Here is an 18903-nt window from a genome sequence, read left to right as displayed (position 1 = left end):
CCTGCGCGTGCAGCCCTAATACGTTCCGGGGCTGGAGGAACGAGGATGCAGGGCCGGGCAGAGGGCTGGGGGACGGGCCGAGGACGTGGGGCCCGGACGAGGGAGCGGAGGGCTGGGGTTCGAGGGTCAGGGAGCCGGGGAGGACAGCGGAGGGCTGGGGGCCAGGACCGGGGCGGAGGGAGTGGAGAGGCCAAGGCCGGGGCGAGAACGCCGGGGCGGGAGGCGGGAGGGCGGAGCCGAGCCGGAGCGGGCTGAGTCACCGCTCACTCCGCTCGCGGGTCCGTCAGTGAGGACGGGAGGAATGCCAGCTCGCCAATTTATCCCCCTTCTCTGGTGTCACGCGCCGTGGGAGGGCGCCTCTGCGCGCCTTTGGGTTCATCCTGTGGGGTGGAGAGAGCGGCTGCGCCGCGGAGGTGGATGCGGGGTGCTGGAGTGTCACATCATCGTCCCTTTTCGTTAGGAAAGTTTAACAGGCTTGAGTATTATGGGAAGAGGGTGTTAACGACTGTAACTGCCGTGTTTTCCTACTGTTTAAAGGGTTGAAGGTTGGATTTGATATAAAACTATTCTGGGAAAGTTCACATGGCGAATATTGTTACTAATAAGCAAAACTAATCCTATACGGTAGGTAAAACCATTTTGTAGTCGAGGTACTTTGAAAGAAATGGTACAGGATGCCATTTCTTGCTCCTTGTTTTGGCCAGGTTGGTGGGGCAGAGAGTGAGGATGCACCATGAGGGAATTTTCTGAGTAATGGAAGCAACTGAGTTACATCTTAAGCACCAAAATGTGGAAAAGAAGTTACTCAATTTTTGAAGGAAGACTTCAAAGTTACATTTAAAGTACTGAGAATGCATTTTGACCTTTCATGCTTCATGACAATTACTGTACATAATTCATTGGATGTTCTATGATAATCTTGGGGCAATCATGAATAATTTTGTGTCGCTATTAAATGAGTGACTTCACACAGTTCTTGCTGCATCTTGTAAAGTTTGATTCTATCACTTTATTTATCTAAGAAATCTTTGAGGACAACCCCGTCCTCAAAGTTCCCCCCGGGAACTGTGCTAAGTGCTGGTGATGCAGATGCACAAGTCATTCCTCCCACAGATCTGACAGACACTCTACTGGAAGAGACAGATGATAAACCAGCCATGTTAATTAGCAATAAGTACTGTGGCGAAAAAGTAGGGTAAAGGAATAGAGAGGGAAGAGGCAGGTGAGGGAAAGCCTCTGAGATATTTAAAGAGACCTGAATGGAGTAAGGGAGGGCCATTTGAACATCTGGGGAAGGTTCTGAGTAGAGAGAACCAGTGGAAAGGTCTTGAGGTATGAGCATGGCCTGCCATCGTTTGTTTTTGTCATTAGCAGACTGAGTTTCCTTTCACATGTTTCATGTTCCTCGTCATAGGGGGAATCAGATAAAACTAAGATTGTTAGGACTTACCCACCTTAATGTCAGTGTTTTCCTTATACCAGTGGTTCCAGAGTTTTTTTTTCTAGGGATAAACCACACATTCATACATTCCCATTGTTATAATTGGATTTTGAAATTCATTCATCATGAGCTAGAATGATATTTCTCAACCTAAGAACTTTTTTTTTTTTTTGAGACAGAGTCTCACTCTGGTCGCCCAGGCTGGAGTGCAGTGGTGTGATCTCGGCTCACTGCCAAGCTCTACCTTCCGGGTTCATGCCATTCTCCTGCCTCAGCCTCCCGAGTAGCTGGGACTACAGGCGCCCGCCACCACGCCTGGCTCATTTTTTGTATTTTTAGTAGAGACGGGGTTTCACTGTGTTAGCCAGGATGGTTTCGATCTCCTGACCTCGTGATGCACCCGCCTCGGCCTCCCGAAGTGCTGGGATTAGAGGTGTGAGCCACCGCGCCCAGCCAAAAACTTTTTTTTTTTTACATTGAAGATTCTTTGATATAAAAGTTTTGTCCCTTCTAAGAGACTGAAAAGCTTCTTTTCAGCAAAATTCTGTATCCTACTATCTTCCCATTTAGAACTGTGTCTAAAAGTGGGCTCTCAGATCCTGACAGGGTCCTCTCTGAATAAATAATTTATTTATTTATTTATTTGAGATGGAGTCTTGCTCTGTCACCTAGGCTGGAGTGCAGTGGCATGATCTGGGCTCACTGCAACCTCTGCCTCCTTCAAGTGATTCTCCTGCATCAGCCCCCCAAGTAGTTGGGATTACAGGTGTATGCCAGCACTCCTGGCTAATTTTTGTGTTTTTAGTAGAGATGGGGTTTCACCATGTGGCCAGGCTGGTCTCCAACTCCTGACCTCAAGTGATCTGCACCCCACCCCCCTGCCGCTTGGCCTCCCAAAGTGCTGGGATTACAGGCACGAGCCACTGCGCCCGGCCCTCTCTGAATAAATTATGTCATGAAGTCCATTAAAGGTGATGCTCTTTTTGCTATGTTCTAGATAGCTAGGATTGTCAAGCATTTATGATATAATTTTAAATTATGCTGCTATTTACTGAAGAATTTATAAATAGTAGCTTACCTTGTTCTTTCATTTGTTATACCTTAGTGAGCAAAGGAGCAATATTAATTACTACCTTTACAATATTTGGTGTTAAAAATTTGATTAGTGAGCATTTTATCTGGTAACTCCATAGAATATTTGATTAATTACCTTATTCTTTGATGACATATTACAATTGGCCTTATGCTTTTGTAATACATTTTTTTTAGTACTATGAAATCAAGGCATAATAGGTACTTGTTACTTTTAATGAGAATTTCATATGAATCACATTTTTATAAGGTATCTTTTAAAAAATTATACAGTTGACTTCAAGGGACCTTCAGAAGCAAAGCACCTACATATAATGGTGCTTGACAGTTTTACAAAGTTAGCATGACCATGATTTACCACCTTTTCCAACTTATAACATCTGTGAATTTGCTTGAAACACATACTGCCAGCCAGTCATAGTCAAATCCTGTCTCCATATCCCTGCCCCTCCTGGGAGCACATTTATTTATTATGTCTTTGCGTAATTATTCTTATCATTGGAAACAGTGTGCTTGATGTTAATGTTCAAATCTGTCAGAGGTAACACTTCTTTTCATAGCTACTTTGTAATCCTTTTTCTAACTATGAGGTAAAGAATACATAAAGAGGAATTTATATTAGATAAGTATTTCATCATAAATGTTCAGGTATGACTACAGTACACAGCATATTCGAAGATGATTGCCATAATATGCAAGACCTCTATGAGTGTCCTACAAGCCACTATCAGAAGATAAAGGATTATTGTTTTGGTGATTCAGTACCACAAGTGGTGTTGCTATTGGTTTCATGATTTTCCAAAATGGTAAAGAGCTTTTGATGAAGTTCCAAATACCATGTGATCTTCCTTTGGTTATATAATTACATTCTTGGGAAGATCAATGTGTATTACATGTATATTAAGATATACATTAGATGTGTATTAAAACTTCAGAGTTTCAGGCTTTGTTTCAAGTTGTACTTGATGGATTTACTATTTTTCAATAAGTTAAAATTTAAAAATTGTTTTGGCTTAAATTTCTAATATGGTAACTGTGGATAGATATAACCTACATAAACAAAAGCTTTTTGGAGTTCTCAATCGTAATAGTGTAAAGAAGCCCTGAGACCAAAGAGTTTGAGAACCACGCATCTAGAGTAATGTTTTTGTTGTTTTAGAGCATTGCTTTTCAACTAGAGCCATGCATTGGAATCGCCTGTGATTTCACAAGAACCTGATAACGTTGATTGCCTGTGGGAAGGGGAGCTGGTGGCCAGTGGTTGAGAACAGGACTTTTTATGGTATCTAACTTCATGCCTTTTCATTTTAAACTCTCTAAATGTGGGACTTACTCAGAATTAATATTGTGGGCTTCATCTCTAGGGCTTCTGATCCTGTAGGTGTCTGTTGGAGCTTGGCATCCGAAACATTAAAATGCGTGATAAGTTACTCTGACTTGCATCTGGAGTCAAGGGTGGCTAGTGTATGTGCTCTGTTCCTCTACTAAGCACTGTGGCTTACTCCCAACGCCCTCCTGACCCCTCCCCCATCCTTCAGAAAAGCAGAAGTGTGGAACATATAGTCCACGCTGTCGACAAGAAACAGGAAGGCAGAAACTTGGGTCTCCCCAAACAGTTCAACTTTTCCGCAGTTGTTTTTTGAATCTTGAGAAACACACAACTGTGGAGTTTCTGTATTCACTTGAGTCGAATTTATTTTTGTGCATCTTGAAGTTCAGTTGTCATCTTTAACCTGAGTGTATATAGAATCTTTTGGGGATACAAAGGGCAACTTTTTTGTTTAAAAGCTCTTGGGCCCACATCCAGGTGTCTCTGGAGCCTTCACATTTGGGACTGAACGCAATTCCAGCTGAGGGTCTTGCCTTGGCTTTGTATCTCCTCTAGTTCCTCTTCTCCTCTTCAGTCAGAGGGTCCTTTCTAGAAAACCAATCTCATCGAATCTGTTGAAGGCTTAATTTGTTCTCTATTTGTAGTCTTCAAGATGAAGACCAAATTATCTTGCTCAAGGTTAAAAATTGGGTGCATTTTTTGAGTTGTGATTCTAATGGCTGTAGCAGATATAGTATGTATTTAATATTTTCAGGTTAATAACAATACGAATAGCTAACATTTATATAAAACTTAAAATATGCTGGATGTTGTGCTTATACTGTGGTAGAATTATGGTGAACCTCATTTTCTAGATGAGAAAACTGAGACTTTGAGAGATTAAGTAGTTTGCTCACTATCATCGAGCTAGTAAATTGCGGGGCCAAGGTTGGAACCCAAGTTCTGATTCTACAGCTTGATATTTTGAATTAATTCACCCCGGCTTTTAAGTGTTGAATTTGATGGCGAATTTCTCTGTGTGCTCGATAGAGACAATAAGTCATGGCCCAGCTTGTGGGATGGCTTCTCACCTCTATCCGCTCTTGTGTTTAGAGTGTACAACTCAGCAGCACTGCTCTCTGGTCAGGCAGTGTGCCCTTGCATTCATTGAAATAATTTCAGAGGATCATCAGAGGAGTGTTCACTCCCCTTCCAGGAACCTGAGAACTGCCCACCCCTCACACACCCAGAGCAGATTAGAGGTGGGAGAACTAGACCTCTCCTTAGGTGATTTGTGGCCAAAAAAATGGAGTACTCTATTTTTCACTCTTGCATTAAGCAGAATCATCAGAGATCTACATCTGGACCTTGTCACCTGGGGCTCTCGATGGAGTGACTGACTGAGTGGCATTTAGAGCCCTGTGGCACGGCCTCCCTGCAGCAGCAGTGTCCAGTGCCGCCCTTCCCTGTGGGTTCCCCTCTCTGGTCCCTGGGCTCCTCACGTGGCAGCCTTGGCTGCCAGGCTAACGGTGTTTCCTGCAAGGCCTTCCCTCAGCATCTACTTCACGAGGTCCTCCTGGTCATGAGCTGTCATAGTGCCCTCATTTTCTTTGACGCTCTTATCACAGTCTGCCTTGGGTACTTATGTGCCACATTTGTTATGTTCTACGTCTGTCTCATTAACCACTGTACATCATATTGTTAGGGCCTGACGTGTTTGGCCTGTAGTAAGTATTTAGGAGTTATTCATTGAATTACTGATTGAGTTTAGTTATACTTTAAACACTGAACAGTATTTTGGGAGTATTTAAACCAGAAGCGTGTAGTGGACATTGCTTGATTTTTTCCCAGCTTATTCTTTGATTGCAGGTTCACTAAACAAGGAATGATTGCTATGTCTAATTTCTTTAGTAGTCTGGATTCTGTGCTTTTCCCTCTGAAGCACAGATTAAGTAGATTTGGTTTAAGAGGTAACAGTTGGATTTTTAAAAATATTTTATAATCAGCAAGAAGGATAAACTGGAAATTTGGTTGGTAAGAGGACAGGGAGACTCAGGTGTGGCTGAAGAGGTAAGTGGGGGTGAAATGATGACATCCATCTGAGGTGCAGAGAAAGTGAGGAGGTGAAGAGGAGAGTGTTTCTGGCATTGAAGAGTTCCTAACTTTTTGGTATGAGAAAGTTGAAAAGTATATAAAACATTTGGATTGGGGATATTTATGTGATGTACTTGAGTGTGAAAATGGTAACCTAAAAATAATTTTTACTGGCTGGGTACGGTGGCTCACACCTGTAATCCCAGCACTTTGGGAGGCCAAGGCGGGAGGATTGCTTGATCCCAGGAGTTCGAGACCAGCCTGGGCAACATGGTAAGACCCTGTCTGTACAGAAAATATAAAAATTAGCTGGATGTGGTGACACATACCTGTAGTCCCAGCTACTTGGGAGGCTGAGGTGGGGGAATCACTTGAGCCCAGGAGGCAGAGGTTGCAGGGAGCCGAGATCTTACCACTGCACTCCAGCCTGGGCGACAGAGTGAGACCTTGTCTGGGAAAAAAAAAATTCTTAAATAGTGACACAACTTTTAAAGGAAACTTTTCAATGATACTTTTAATATTTGTAAAATTAATATATACGCAGTGTAAAAATTCAGAAAGTGGAAAAATATAAGGAGAAAAAAACTACCCCGACCCTGTGACCCCACAAAACATTTTAGATTTCATTTTGTTCCTTTCCCCACTATGCAGGCATTCACTGGATCCTTGCTGACACAGTGCGCTTGTGTCTGCTTTAGCTAGAATAGGGACAGAAAGATGGGGGGGTGTGAGTCCTTAGAGGATGTGGAGAAGAGAGAGCTGGGTGCCGAGCTGGAGGTGAGCTTGGTGTGTTCCAGGAATAGCAGGAGTGCAATGTGGGGAGCAAGGGGCCGGCTCCCTGGGCTGGGGCCAGGAGGTTGGGTTCTGTTGTGAGTGTGATGGGTGTGTGAGCAGAGTGATGATAATATTTATATTTTAAGAGGATCACTTTGACTGCTGGGTGGATAATTCACTCTAAGGGGGCAAAGGTGGAAGCAAGTGAGCAGCTCCTCAGGAGACTTCCTGTAATGGGATGGTAGCTGTGGAGTGATCATATTTGGGATATGCTTTTAGAAATAGAATCAACAGGATTTGCTGATCTAAATAATTACTTAATAGTCTGAAAATGTCTTTATTTCTCTTACGCTTCTATTCCTGAACTCTTGGATCATCAGTCAGATATAGATATTCTGGTCTGAAGTGTTTTTCCTCTGCCCACTTTGAAGGTATTCTTTCATTATTGATGAGAAGTCTGATGTTAATCCATTTCTTACTCCTTTGAAGATGTGTCTGGTAGCTTTTAGAATTTTAAAAAATCCTGCATGTTCTGAAATTTTGCAATAATGTGTCTAGGTGTGGAACTTAAAAATTTACCTGGATTAACACTTGATGATCCTTCAATCTGAGGACTTTTCCTTTTTTTAAAATTTATTATTTTTTTCAAAGCTAGTGACAGACTTAGAATTTTTTTTTTGAGAAGGATCTTGCTGTATTGTCCAGGCTGGTCGCAAACTCCTGGGCTCAAGTGATCCACCTCAGCCCCTGAAAGTGTTGCAATTACAGGTGTGAGCCACCACGCAGGGCTGACTTTTTTTTAATGATAGAAAAATTTTACTATTTTTTCTTCATAATTTCTAACTGTTCTTTTGTTGTGTTTGATTTTCTAGCTTGCATTTAAATTGTCCTTTAGTATCTCCATTCTGCTATTTAGCCCATTTAAAAAAATTCTCAGTGTTTAGGTTCACAGTGATTTCCTCTGTGCTACCATTTTGCCTTTGTGCTGGCCGCCACCATCCTGTGTCTGTGTATGTCTCCGCTTCTAGAATTTCACGTAAATGCAGTCATACAGTGTTCAGTCAAAAGTTTTGAGACTTGTTTCTTTCACTTAGTATAACGCGTTTGAGATGCATTTACAGTGCCATATCAATAGTTCACCTTTTCATTGCAGAGTAGTGTTCCATTGTATGATGAACCAGTTTATCCATTTTACCACTGAGGGACATTTGGAGTGCTTCCGTTTTTGGCAGTTATGGATAATGCTGCTATGAACATTCATGGACAGGTTTTTTATGTGAACTTAAGTTAGTTTTCTAGAATAAACACCTGCAAGTGGGGTTGTTGGGCCTCAGGGCAGGTGCATGCTCATTGTTTTCAGAAGTTGCCAGACTCTTTTCCAGTATGGCTGTGGCTGCTTTGCCGCTGCACCAGCAGTGTGGGAGAGCTCCAGGGATGCCATGGCTCCACCCGCACACAGCAGTGTGGGAGAGCTCCAGGGATGCCATGGCTCCACCCCCACTCAGCAGTGTGGGAGAGCTCCAGGGATGCCATGGCTCCACCCGCACACAGCAGTGTGGGAGAGCTCCAGGGATGCCGTGGCCCCCCGGCACTCAGCAGTGTGGGAGAGCTCCAGGGATGCCGTGGCCCCCTGACACTCAGCAGTGTGCGAGAGCTCCGGGGATGCCGTGGCCCCGCGGGCACTCAGCAGTGTGGGAGAGCTGCAGGGATGCCGTGGCCCCGCTGGCACTCAGCAGTGTGCGAGAGCCCCAGGGATGCCGTGGCCCCGCGGGCATTCAGCAGTGTGGGAGAGCTCCAGGGATGCCGTGGCCCCACTGTCACTCAGCAGTGTGGGAGAGCTCCAGGGATGCCGTGGCCCCACCTGCACTCAGCAGTGTTAGTGGTTTTTAATCTTAGCTATTCTAGCAAGTGTGTTGTGATATCTCAGTGTGGTTTTAATTTTAATTTTCCTAGTGATGTTGAACATCTTTGTGTGTGTGTGTGTGTTTGCCATTCATATGTCTTCTTGGTGAATTATCTGTTCAAAACTTTTGCTTATGTCTTTGTGTTTTGCACATATTTTTTCTCAGTATTTTCATTCTCTTAACAGTGTCTTTTGCAGAGCAAAAGTTTTTAATCTTGATGAAGGCCAATGTATGAATTTCTAAAAAAATGGGTCATCATTTTGGTGTCATGTAGGAACTCTGCCAAACTCAAAGTTGCAAAGATTTCTTTGTTTTGTTTTATTTCTAAGAGGGGCTTATGTTTTACTCTTCTATTTAATTTTTGCTGGGGTGATCAGACCCAACACCAGGTCGTGGGGGTGACGAAGTCTGGTGGAGTCGAAGGAATGAGAAAAGACAGTTTGAGAGCGAAAGTGGGTCCAGGGGGCCATCGCTAAGTATGGAGGCTGTGAAGGCCCTGAGCTCTGGAAGCCCAGACTATTTATTGGTGATCAAACAAAGAAACAGGTGGTGAGAATGTGGGGGTCGAAAGGTCGCGTTGCATTAAGCACATGATTTACAGGTGTGATGATTTAGCATCTGCTCTGCTACTTGAGATAATGGAGAGCAGGTTCTTTTTTTTTTTTTTTTTTTTTTTTTTTTGAGACGGAGTCTCACTCTTTCGCCCAAGCTGGACTGCAGTGGCGCTATCCCGGCTCACTGCAAGCTCCGCCTCTTGGGTTCATGCCATTCTCCTGCCTCAGCCTCCCGAGTAGCTGGGATTACAGGCGCCCACCACCACGCCCGGCTAATTTTTTGTATTTTTAGTAGAGACGGGGTTTCACCGTGTTAGCCAGGATGGTCTCGATCTCCTGACCTCGTGATCCGCCCGCCTCGGCCTCCCAAAGTGCTGGGATTACAGGCGTGAGCCACCGCGCCCGGCCGAGAGCAGGTTCTTTTAACTCAAGATACAATCGATCCTGGGAGAGCAAGGAGCAAGGAGCCAGCAAGTCTAGACACATTCCAGAGCCACGAGTCCTGGATTCCATCCAAGCCACGAGGGGTTTTATGCCCTGGGCTGAGATTATGGTGCGTCAGGGTAGCCTTCCGCCCTTTAGCACAGATTGGCGTTCCAAAGGCCTCAAGGGATTTTAGACCCTGGACCCCGGACATGTTCCAAGACTCTTTTACGTTAGTCAGACATGCAAGCCCTGCCTCAGCTTCTCCCAACACTCAGCTTTTCCCAACAAATTTTCATATGTGGCATGTGATATAGGTTGAAATTCATTTTTGAGTTTACCAAAGAAAGCTTTTTCCCCCCTCACATTTTAGTTGCTTTCTTATCTTGAAGACTAAAAGTTTGAAAACGGAGCTTTAAAAAATATTGATGCCATGGCTCCCCACTCCAGACTGATAAAATCAGAATTTGTGAAAAGTGAGTCTTGGCATTAATATATTTTAAAAAAATGTTTTATTTTAGAATGATGATAGACTTACAGAAAAATTGCAAATATAGAGTTCCTGTAAGCCCAGTACCATTTTGTCTTACATAACCGTGGTACACTTGTTAGAATTAATTAATTAATAATGATACACTAGTATTAATCAAGCTCCATAGTTATTTAGATTTCCTCACTTAGCACTCGGTGGCCTTTTGCTGTCTCTAGGCTCCCTCTAGGAATGTTACATTCATTTGTCTTGTCTCTTTGGGCTTCTCTTGACATTGACAATTTCTCGGACTTTTTTTTTCATGATCTTGAGAATTTTGAGGATTAAAGGTTATTAGTAGACTGTCTCAACTGAGTCTGATATTTTTATCATGACTAGACTGGGGCTACATATTTTTGGGAGGAAGACCCCCAGGGTGAAGTGACATTTTCATCACATCATATGGAGGATACCTGCCACCAGGGTGATTCATCATTCTTGAAAGTGACCTTGATCGCTTGGCTAAGGTGTGTGTGCCAGGTTTCTCTGCTGTGAGTGACTCTTTTTTTCTGCCTGTATTGTGCTCTTTGGAAGAAAGTGTGCCCAGCCCACACTTATGATATGGAGTTGTTTTAGCTACCTCCTTGAGAGTGAAGTGTCTACATAAATTACTTAGCCCTTATTATCTTTTAAATTTTTATAAGATCAGTGGCAGTATCCCTTCCTGATTCTGTGTCTTGTCTTGTTTTTCTTGGTCAGTCTGGCAAAGGTTTATCAATTCTGTGATTTTTTTTTCTTTTTTTTTTTTAAGAATTTTTTTTTTCCCTCCACCCCACCATTTTTTGTTGTAAATTTCATTGACTGCTGGGGTTTTTTTTTTTTTGTTTGTTTGTTTTACCATTTCCTAATGTGTACTTTGAGTTTTGTTTGTTCTTTTTCCAGATTTTATCATATAAACTGAGATTATTGATTTGAGGTCTATCTTCCTTTTTAAAGAAAGCATTTTATGCTATAAATTTTCCTCTAAGGACTGTTTTAGCCACATCTCACATATTTTGATATGTTGTGTTTTTATTTTCATTCAATTCATTTTCTGATTTTCTTTGACAGTTTTTATTGCCCATGTATTTTTTTCAGCTTTGTTGAGGTATAATTGATAAATCCAAAATATATATTTAAGGTATGCAATGTGATGCTTTGATGTATGTATGGATTGTGAAATGATTACCACAGTGAAGCTAATCAATATGTTCGTCAGCTCACCTCAGTACCCGTTTTTTTGTGTGTGTTTGTGTGTGTGGTGAGAAAACCTGTGATTTACTCTCAGCAGATTTCAAGTACACAATCTATTGTCATTAACTACCGTCCCCATGCTGTGTGTTAGGTCTCCAGAACTCATTCACCCATGACTGCAAGTTTGAAGTGCTTGCTCTTGGAGTAAGAAGTTGCATTGCTTTCTTCTACTGCAACCCCTTGAAAGTGCATTTACTGTAGTTTGAGGCTTTTCCCCGAGAGATTTCTAGGACCTTTATAGAGAAAGAGAAAGGAGTAGCAGTTTTTCCAATTTGAGGCCTGTTCTGACCTTTCTTTTGACAGCTCAGCCTTGCTTCTGTTAAATTTTTTAGCTGTTCAGAATTACGTTCATTCCATGAATTTTTAAGTCTTGTAGTTGTTACTGTGAAGATGTAATATAGTGATATAAAACAACCTTTTAAATAAGGTTTAATTTAAGTAATGAAAGGCACGTACGTAATTTTCCTATGACTGCTGTAACAAATTATTACAAATTAGTTCGTTTATTCCCCTGTGTTTCTGGAGACCAGAGCCAAAGGCAGTGTCCTGGGGCTGACTGCAGGTTGCAGGGCTGGGCTACCCCTGGAGGCTCTGGGGGGTGCTGCGTCGCCTTTTCCAGCTCCAGTGACTGTGGTGCTCCTTGGCTCATTGGCTCCTTGGCCCATGTGTGTGTTGACTGACTGCCAGATGTTTGGAGATTTTTCAGATACCATTCTGTTAAGGATTACTAGTTTAATTCTGTTAGTGTTAGAGGACATACTTTGAATAATTTTATTGTTTTCTATTTAATCAGACTGCTTTGTGACCCACAATTCAGTCTGTCCTGAATGTTCCACGTGCATTTGAAAAGAGCGTGTGTTGTTTTGTTGTGGGGTGGGCTGTTGTGTGAATACCGATTAGGTTTAGTTGGTTGTTGGTGTTCAAGTTGATATCCTTGCTCATTTTCTCTTCACTTGCCCTTTGGATTACTGAGAAATGCCCCTTGATGTCTCCAGATGTATTTGTGAATGTCTGTTTTTCCTTTCAGTTCTATTAGAGTTTGCTTCATGTGCCTTACAGCTCTGCTGTTTAGAGTGTTCACATTTAGAATTGCTATGTCATCTTGGTGAATTGCCCTTTTATCATTTTGTGATCCCTACTTTATCCTTGTTAATTTTTCTTAGTCTAAAGTTTACTTTGTCTGATAGAAATGTAGCCAGTTCACGTTCTTTGAATAGTGTTTTCATGGAATATCTTTCTTCTTCCTTTCATTTTTAAGGATATCTTTCATCATGTCTCAGTTGGGCTCCTTCTCGATAGTACACAGCTTTAAGGGGTGACTTTTTCCAGCTTCCTCTTCTGTGCTGCTGCCCTCACTCTGGTTCCCAACACATTTCCTCATGTTCTGGCTAAAATCCGAACCCCCAGCCTGCCAGCCTTGTGATGGAGTTTTGGGGCCATTATTGGTTCTTGTCAAGTGTGGAATGGGGCAGCCCACTGCGGGGGTGCCCCTGAAGGTAGAAGGGGCTGGTAGCCTGGCGCAGGGCTGGGAGAGCTGTGGTGCTTCCTCCCTCCCTCCCCACCTGGGCCCTGGCTGGGGAGACTGGGCCTGGCTCGGAGGTTTTTCTGTCTTTGCCTGTTTGTGGTTTGGGTTTTGGAGTGTTACCCAGCCCCAGCTGGTGCAGTAAACAGCAAACAGATAAAGAAAATATCAAAAAGCAAAAATGGGGGAAGTCATTCCAGGATTTCCTTTGATTCATCAGTTTCATACCCAGTCTGCTTCTCTTACCCATTGTTCAGAGTCTGATTGGAGGTGTTTTATGTATTTTTGCCAGAGTTTTACATTGTCATCAGTAGTGGAGTGTGCTTACTCTGTCTTGACGGAGATGACTTCTGTCTCTAGTTTCTTCTTTCAAGTCAATCCTGTTTGTTTTCTTTACATCTTTCAGGGATTCTTCAGTTTCTGTTTCACCAAGAGTGCTCTTCTTAGATCCACTTTTCTGGTTTTGTTTATATCTTCCTTAAATCCTTTGTTACATTTCTGGGGATTTTGGATTGTCTATGGATTGGGCAGGGGAAGTCACACTGTGAGCTCAGAGTGCCCACTTGAAGATTCTCTGTGGATTGGGCAGGGGAAGCCACACTGAGCTCAGAGTGCCCACTTGAAGATTCTCTGTGGATTGGGCAGGGGGAAGCCACACTGAGCTCAGAGTGCTCACTTGAAGATTCTCTGTGGATTGGGCAGGGGAAGCCACACTGTGAGCGTGGAGTGCCCACTTGAAGATTCTTTGTGGATTGGGCAGGGGGAAGCCACACTGTGAGCTCAGAGTGCCCACTTGAAGATTCTCTGTGGATTGGGCAGGGGGAAGCCACACTGTGAGCTCAGAGTGCCCACTTGAAGATTCTCTGTGGATTGGGCAGGGGAAGCCACACTGAGCTCAGAGTGCCCACTTGAAGATTCTCTGTGGATTGGGCAGGGGAAGCCACACTGTGAGCTCAGAGTGCTCACTTAAAGATTCTCTGCGGATTGGGCAGAGGAAGCCATACTGAGCTCAGAGTGCCCACTTGAATTTCCAGGTGCCACTCATAGTTCCACTTCCTTCCTAGGATGGAGAACAGTGTTGGCTTTTGCTGGCAGATGCAGCTGGGCACTGCCCTGTTGGGCTGCTCCTCTGCATCCCGGGTTGAACTGGGCCCAGCACTCAGTGGTGGGGGTGGGGGGATCTGGAGGTATCTACTGGTAACTTGACTTCTAGAGTCATAGAAGTTGGGCAGACAGGCAGGCTATCCCACCCTGGCACCAGCTCCAATCCACTTATTGAAGTGATTGCTTTCGGAAGGTGGAGGCTTTCTGAAAGATTTCTTCCTGACCCTTGACGTTCTTTTGCTGCTGAGATTGTAGTGGGGAACATTCTTCTCCCAGATCCCTTGTACTGAGGGTGGGAGTTCCTCAGATTGGGAGTTTGCCTCTGCAGAGATGAGAGCCTGGATTTTTTCCTGGGGCTAAGGCAGTTGCTGTGAACCATGTAACTTCCAAGGCCCTTCCCTTCTCATCCTTTCTGTCTTGTATGACTTCTTTGGACATTTATTCCACTCCAGGTTTCTCCCTCCCCACTTCTGCCTGGGCTGATCTGGTGATTTCCTTGTCTTGGCTGTCGTAATTTCCATCTTTTTGCCTTTTTGTTTTAGTTTTTGAGAGACTTCTTCAACTTTAAATACAAGCTTTCTACTTATTTTAAAAAACATCTGCCTTCATACTTTTAATATTCAAGAGCTTGTCTTCTCTGAATTTATGGCATACTGTTTTGTTTCATGGATGTGTTATGTCTAATCTCGTAGGCCATTATAGCTTGTTTTTGTACATCTTGCCCCCATTTTCTTATTCCCTACGTTGTTACTTTTTCTTAGAGTTTCCTTTTTTCCTTCTTGTGTTTGTCTCCTTTTTGTTTTAGATGATGCCCTCAGGTATCTGGCGATACCTGTTCTTTTCATCTTTAAGAGTGGAGTTGTCGGAAGGTCTTGGCTAGGGCAGCATTTGCCCAGTGCTGAGCTTCCTTGTGGAGGACAGGCACACGTCATCTTATTGTCCTTTACAGATACTGCGTTATTTGACAATTGGAAGTTTTTGGCACCCTGCGTTGGGCAAGTCTTTAGGTACCATTTTTCCAACAGCATGTGCTCACTTTGTATCTCTGTGTCATATTTGGAAATTCTCACAGTATTTCAGACTTTTTCATGATTATTACATCTGTTACGTTGATGTGTAACTTGTGATCTTTGATGCTGCTGTTGTAATTGTTTTGGGGTGCCATGAAGTGCGCAAACTTAATCAAAAAGTGTTGTGTATGTTCTGACTACTCTGCCGACCAGCTGTTCCCTGTCTCACCCTCTCTCCTCAGGCCTCCCTATTTCCTGAGTCACAACAATATTGAAATTAGGCCAGTTAATAGCCTTACAGTGACCTCTTACTGTTTAAGTGAAATTAGTGATCAACAGAAAACCAAACATGACCTTCTCACTCATAAGTGGGAGTTGAACAGTGAGAACACATGGACACAGAGAGGGGAACAACACACACCAGAGCCTGTTGGAGGGTGGGGGGTGAGGGGCGGGAACTTAGAGGACGGGTCATTAGGTGCCGCAAACCAGCACAGCACACGTATACCTATGTAACAAACCTGCCACACGTGTACCTGTGTAACAAACCTGCACGTTCTGCACATGTATCCCGCTTTTTGTTTTTTAGAAGAAATAATAATAAAAGAAATTAGTGTTCAAGTGAAATGAAGAGTCACATGCCTCTCACTTTAAATCAAAAGCTAGAAATGGTTAAGCTTGGTGAGGAAGGCATGCCAAAAGCTGAGATACGCGAGAAGCTAGGCCTCTTATGCCAGTTAGTCAAGTTGTGATTGAATAGGAAAAGTTCTTGAAGGAAATTACAAATGCTATTCCAGTGAACACAAGAGTAATAAATTGAAACAGCCTTATTGCTAATATGGAGAAAGTTTGAGTGGTCTGGATAGAAGATCAAACCAGCCACAGCATTCCTTTAAGCCAAAACCTAATCTTGAGCAAGACCTTAATTCTGTGAAGGCTGAGAGAGGTGAGGAAGCTGCAGAAGAAAAGTTAGAAGCTAGCAGGGGTTTTTAGTTCATGAGACTGAAGGAAAGAAGCTGTCTCCATAACATAAAAATGCAAGGTGAAGCAGCACCTGCTAATGGAGAAGCTGCAGCAAGTCATCCAGAACTAGCTGAGATCATTGGGGAAGGTGGCTACACTAACAACAGATTTTCAGTGTAAGTGAAACACCCTTCTATTGGAATAAGATGCCATCTTATTGGCGTCTAATAAGATGCCAACTTTCATTCCTAGAGAGGAGAAGTTAGTGCCTTCCTTCAGAGCTACAAAGAATAAGCCGACTCTTGTCTGGGGCTAATGCAGCAGGTGACTGAAGTTGTTGAAGCCAGTGCTCGTTGACCATTCCAAAAATCCTGGGGCCCTTAGGAGTTATGCTAAATCTACTCTTCCTGTGCTCTAGAAATGAAACGACAAAGCCTAGATGACAGCACATCTTTTTATAGCATGGTTTACTGAATATTTTAAGCCTCCTATTAAGGTCTGCTGCTCAGAAAAAGATTCCTTACTGCTCGTTGAGAATGCACCTGGAGTTGTTTTCATGCCTGCTAACATGCATCTGTTCTGCAGAACATGGACCAAAGAGTAATTTCAACTTTCAAATCTTATCACTTGAGAAACACATTTTATAAGGCTATAGTTGCCATAGATAGTGATTCCTCTGATGGATCTGGGCAAAGTAAATTGAAAACCTTCTGGAAAGGATTCATCATTCTAGATGCCATTAAGATCATTTGTGATTCATGGGAGGTCAAATTGTCAACATTAACAGGAGTTTGGAAGAAAGTGATTCCAGCCATGATGGATGACTTTGAGGGTTCAAGCCTTCAGTGGAGGAAGGAACTGCAGATGTGGTGGCAATAGCAGGAGAAGTAGAAGAGGATCTTGAAGAGGTAACTGAACTGCCACAATCTCATGATAAAATGTGAAGGGATGAGGAGTTGCTTTTTATCGATGAGCAGAGAAAGTGGTTTCTTGAGGTGGAATCTACTCCTGCTGAAGTGCTGTGAACATTGTTGAAATGACAACAAAGAATTTAGAATATTACATAAACTTAGTTGATAAAACAGTGGCAGGGTTTAAGAGGACTGGCTTCTGTTTCGAAAGAAGTTCTACTGTGGGTAAAATGCTATCAAACAACATCACATGCTATAGAGAAGAAGCATGAAAGGAAGGGTCAATCGATGTGGTAAACTTCATTGTTGTCTTATTTTAAGAAATTGCCACAGCCTTCAGCAACCACCGCCCTGGTCAGTCAGTAGTCGTCAACATCAAGGTGAGACCCTCCACCAGCAAAAAGATTTCGACTTGCTGAAGGCTCAGATGATTGTTAGCATTTTTTAGCAATAAAGTATTTTTGAATTAAGGCTGTGTATATGTTTTTTTCTTTTTAGACATAATGCTGTTCCACACTTAACAGACCACAGTATATTAAACCTAACTTTTATATGCACTGGGAAAACAAAAAGTTTCATGTGACTCACTTTTTGTGATATTTTCTTTAATATGGTGGTTGGAACCAGATCTGCACTATCTCTGTGGTCTGTCTGAATTTGACAAAGACCCGTGTGCTTGTTGGGGATCCCCACTCATCACCATCTGTCTCTCTTTTCTCTTGGGCTGATCAGTTTTCTCATAGACAAATTGTGCATCCTGGAGTTCTGGGAAGGACTGGGGATCCCTGAGTTGTCTGTTAACTTTACTTAGTGACCGGGGCCACCCTAGTGTCCATCCAGACCAGGCTTGCTGGGCGGGTCTCGGTGGTTGTCTGGCAGCGTGGGATTGGGTGGAGGACCCAGGAGTCTGTTTCCGTCCAAACTTGCAGCCAGGTCTCCCCCTTCAGCCCTGCTTGCTTCTGCATCCTGAGAGTATCCAGTTCCTTCCTTTCCTGAGCCTGCCTGGGCTCTGCAGTGGGAACTGTTATTTCTTCTTGACATTTATTCCTCCCACTCCCCTCTCCCCATTCTTAACTTGACGGACATTTAGTGTTCCGGTTTCATTGTCCTCTTGAATCAGTTACCACACATCTATCTGCAGTCCAGCTTCTCACATTTTTTGACTTCTCTCTGATTCCTTTCTGCCTTGTTTTCTTTGTCCTTGTTGGTTTATGCTTTTAGTTTTAAAAACTCCTTTATCCTCAATTTTATGGTGTTTTTGAAGGGAGTAGAGGCACATGCGTTTAAGCTGTCATCTTCATCTAGAGGTGAAAATGCAAATTAACTGTCTATTTTGACTGTTGAGTGACCTGCTTCTGGCTTTTTGTGTGTGTTGACCCTGGAGTTACTCAGAGGCTCTCTTGACCCGGCCTCCTCTTCTTGTTCATGTGTTGGGATGTGACCCTTTCTGTTCCTTTTCTTTTCGTGATTACTGAGCCAGTTTGTTTTTTGTCATCTAGGATTTTTCAGACTCTCTGGTGTGTTACTGTTCTCATTCTTATTTTATTGAACTCTTATTTCATTCATTCATTCTGTTTTGATATCTTAATAGCTTTTCTGTCCTCTCAGTTAAGACCTTGGGGAGGTGGAAGATAGATGTTATTACTAGTTCACTGTCTTGAACTGGAAGCTTCAGGTGACCAGAACGTAACCTGGTTGGTAACAATCCGCATCCTTTTGTTTGTCTTTCAGCTGATGTAGCCCAGCAGTTCCAGTATGCTGTGCGGGTGATTGGCAGCAACTTCGCCCCAACTGTTGAAAGAGATGAATTTTTAGTAGCTGAAAAAATCAAGAAAGAGCGTACGTATTTTTCTTAAATGTCATGTGTTGGATTCTTAAACTCGTCAGAGCTTAAGCAGATGTATGTATGCATGTGTGTAGGTGTGTATGTAGTTCCCAAGCGCATTTTAATATTGGTACAAAATAAGGACAAGTCAATTCTGTTGTAGAGTCAGAACTATTAGAACATAATACTTTAGAATGTTTAATTCTGGGATGGTG

At 43.0% G+C, this 18903-nt stretch overlaps 1 protein-coding gene across 12 annotated transcripts in view, besides 3 other annotated features; it reads left to right on the top strand.

The window, feature by feature from the left end:
* Nucleotides 1-18903, top strand: part of TUBGCP3 (tubulin gamma complex component 3) — a 120620-nt gene that overhangs the window by 17777 nt on the left and 83940 nt on the right. For 10 of the 12 annotated variants that reach the window (XR_007063655.1, XM_017020323.3, NM_001286277.2 and 7 more), the window contains exon 2: nt 18595-18702. Coding sequence is in view for 8 of the 12 variants with exons in the window: in NM_001286277.2 (NP_001273206.1) it covers nt 18595-18702 (108 nt within the window). In the remaining 4 variants the exon portion in view is untranslated. Of the gene's footprint in view, nt 1-432; nt 625-3692; nt 3816-18594; nt 18703-18903 lie in introns of those variants that run through there. The other 2 variants (XM_047430038.1, XM_047430039.1) reach the window with 2 other exon arrangements.
* Nucleotides 21-80: a silencer, noted in NCBI's record as "silent region_5530". NCBI's record gives its function as "represses an Ori minimal core promoter by ATAC-STARR-seq in GM12878 lymphoblastoid cells {active_cell/tissue: GM12878}" and the evidence as "EXISTENCE:reporter gene assay evidence [ECO:0000049][PMID:35858748]".
* Nucleotides 111-230: a silencer, noted in NCBI's record as "silent region_5529". NCBI's record gives its function as "represses an Ori minimal core promoter by ATAC-STARR-seq in GM12878 lymphoblastoid cells {active_cell/tissue: GM12878}" and the evidence as "EXISTENCE:reporter gene assay evidence [ECO:0000049][PMID:35858748]".
* Nucleotides 7890-8443: an enhancer, noted in NCBI's record as "H3K4me1 hESC enhancer chr13:113233725-113234278 (GRCh37/hg19 assembly coordinates)". NCBI's record gives its function as "activates a minimal SCP1, AML or CMV promoter by ChIP-STARR-seq in naive H9 embryonic stem cells {active_cell/tissue: H9 hESC(naive)}" and the evidence as "EXISTENCE:reporter gene assay evidence [ECO:0000049][PMID:30033119]".

This window comes from Homo sapiens, chromosome 13, assembly GCF_000001405.40.
Source record: "Homo sapiens chromosome 13, GRCh38.p14 Primary Assembly".
Classification (NCBI taxonomy): Eukaryota; Metazoa; Chordata; class Mammalia; order Primates; family Hominidae; genus Homo; species Homo sapiens.
Note: the sequence above shows the minus strand (reverse complement) of the source record. Positions and strands in the feature narration are given on the sequence as shown.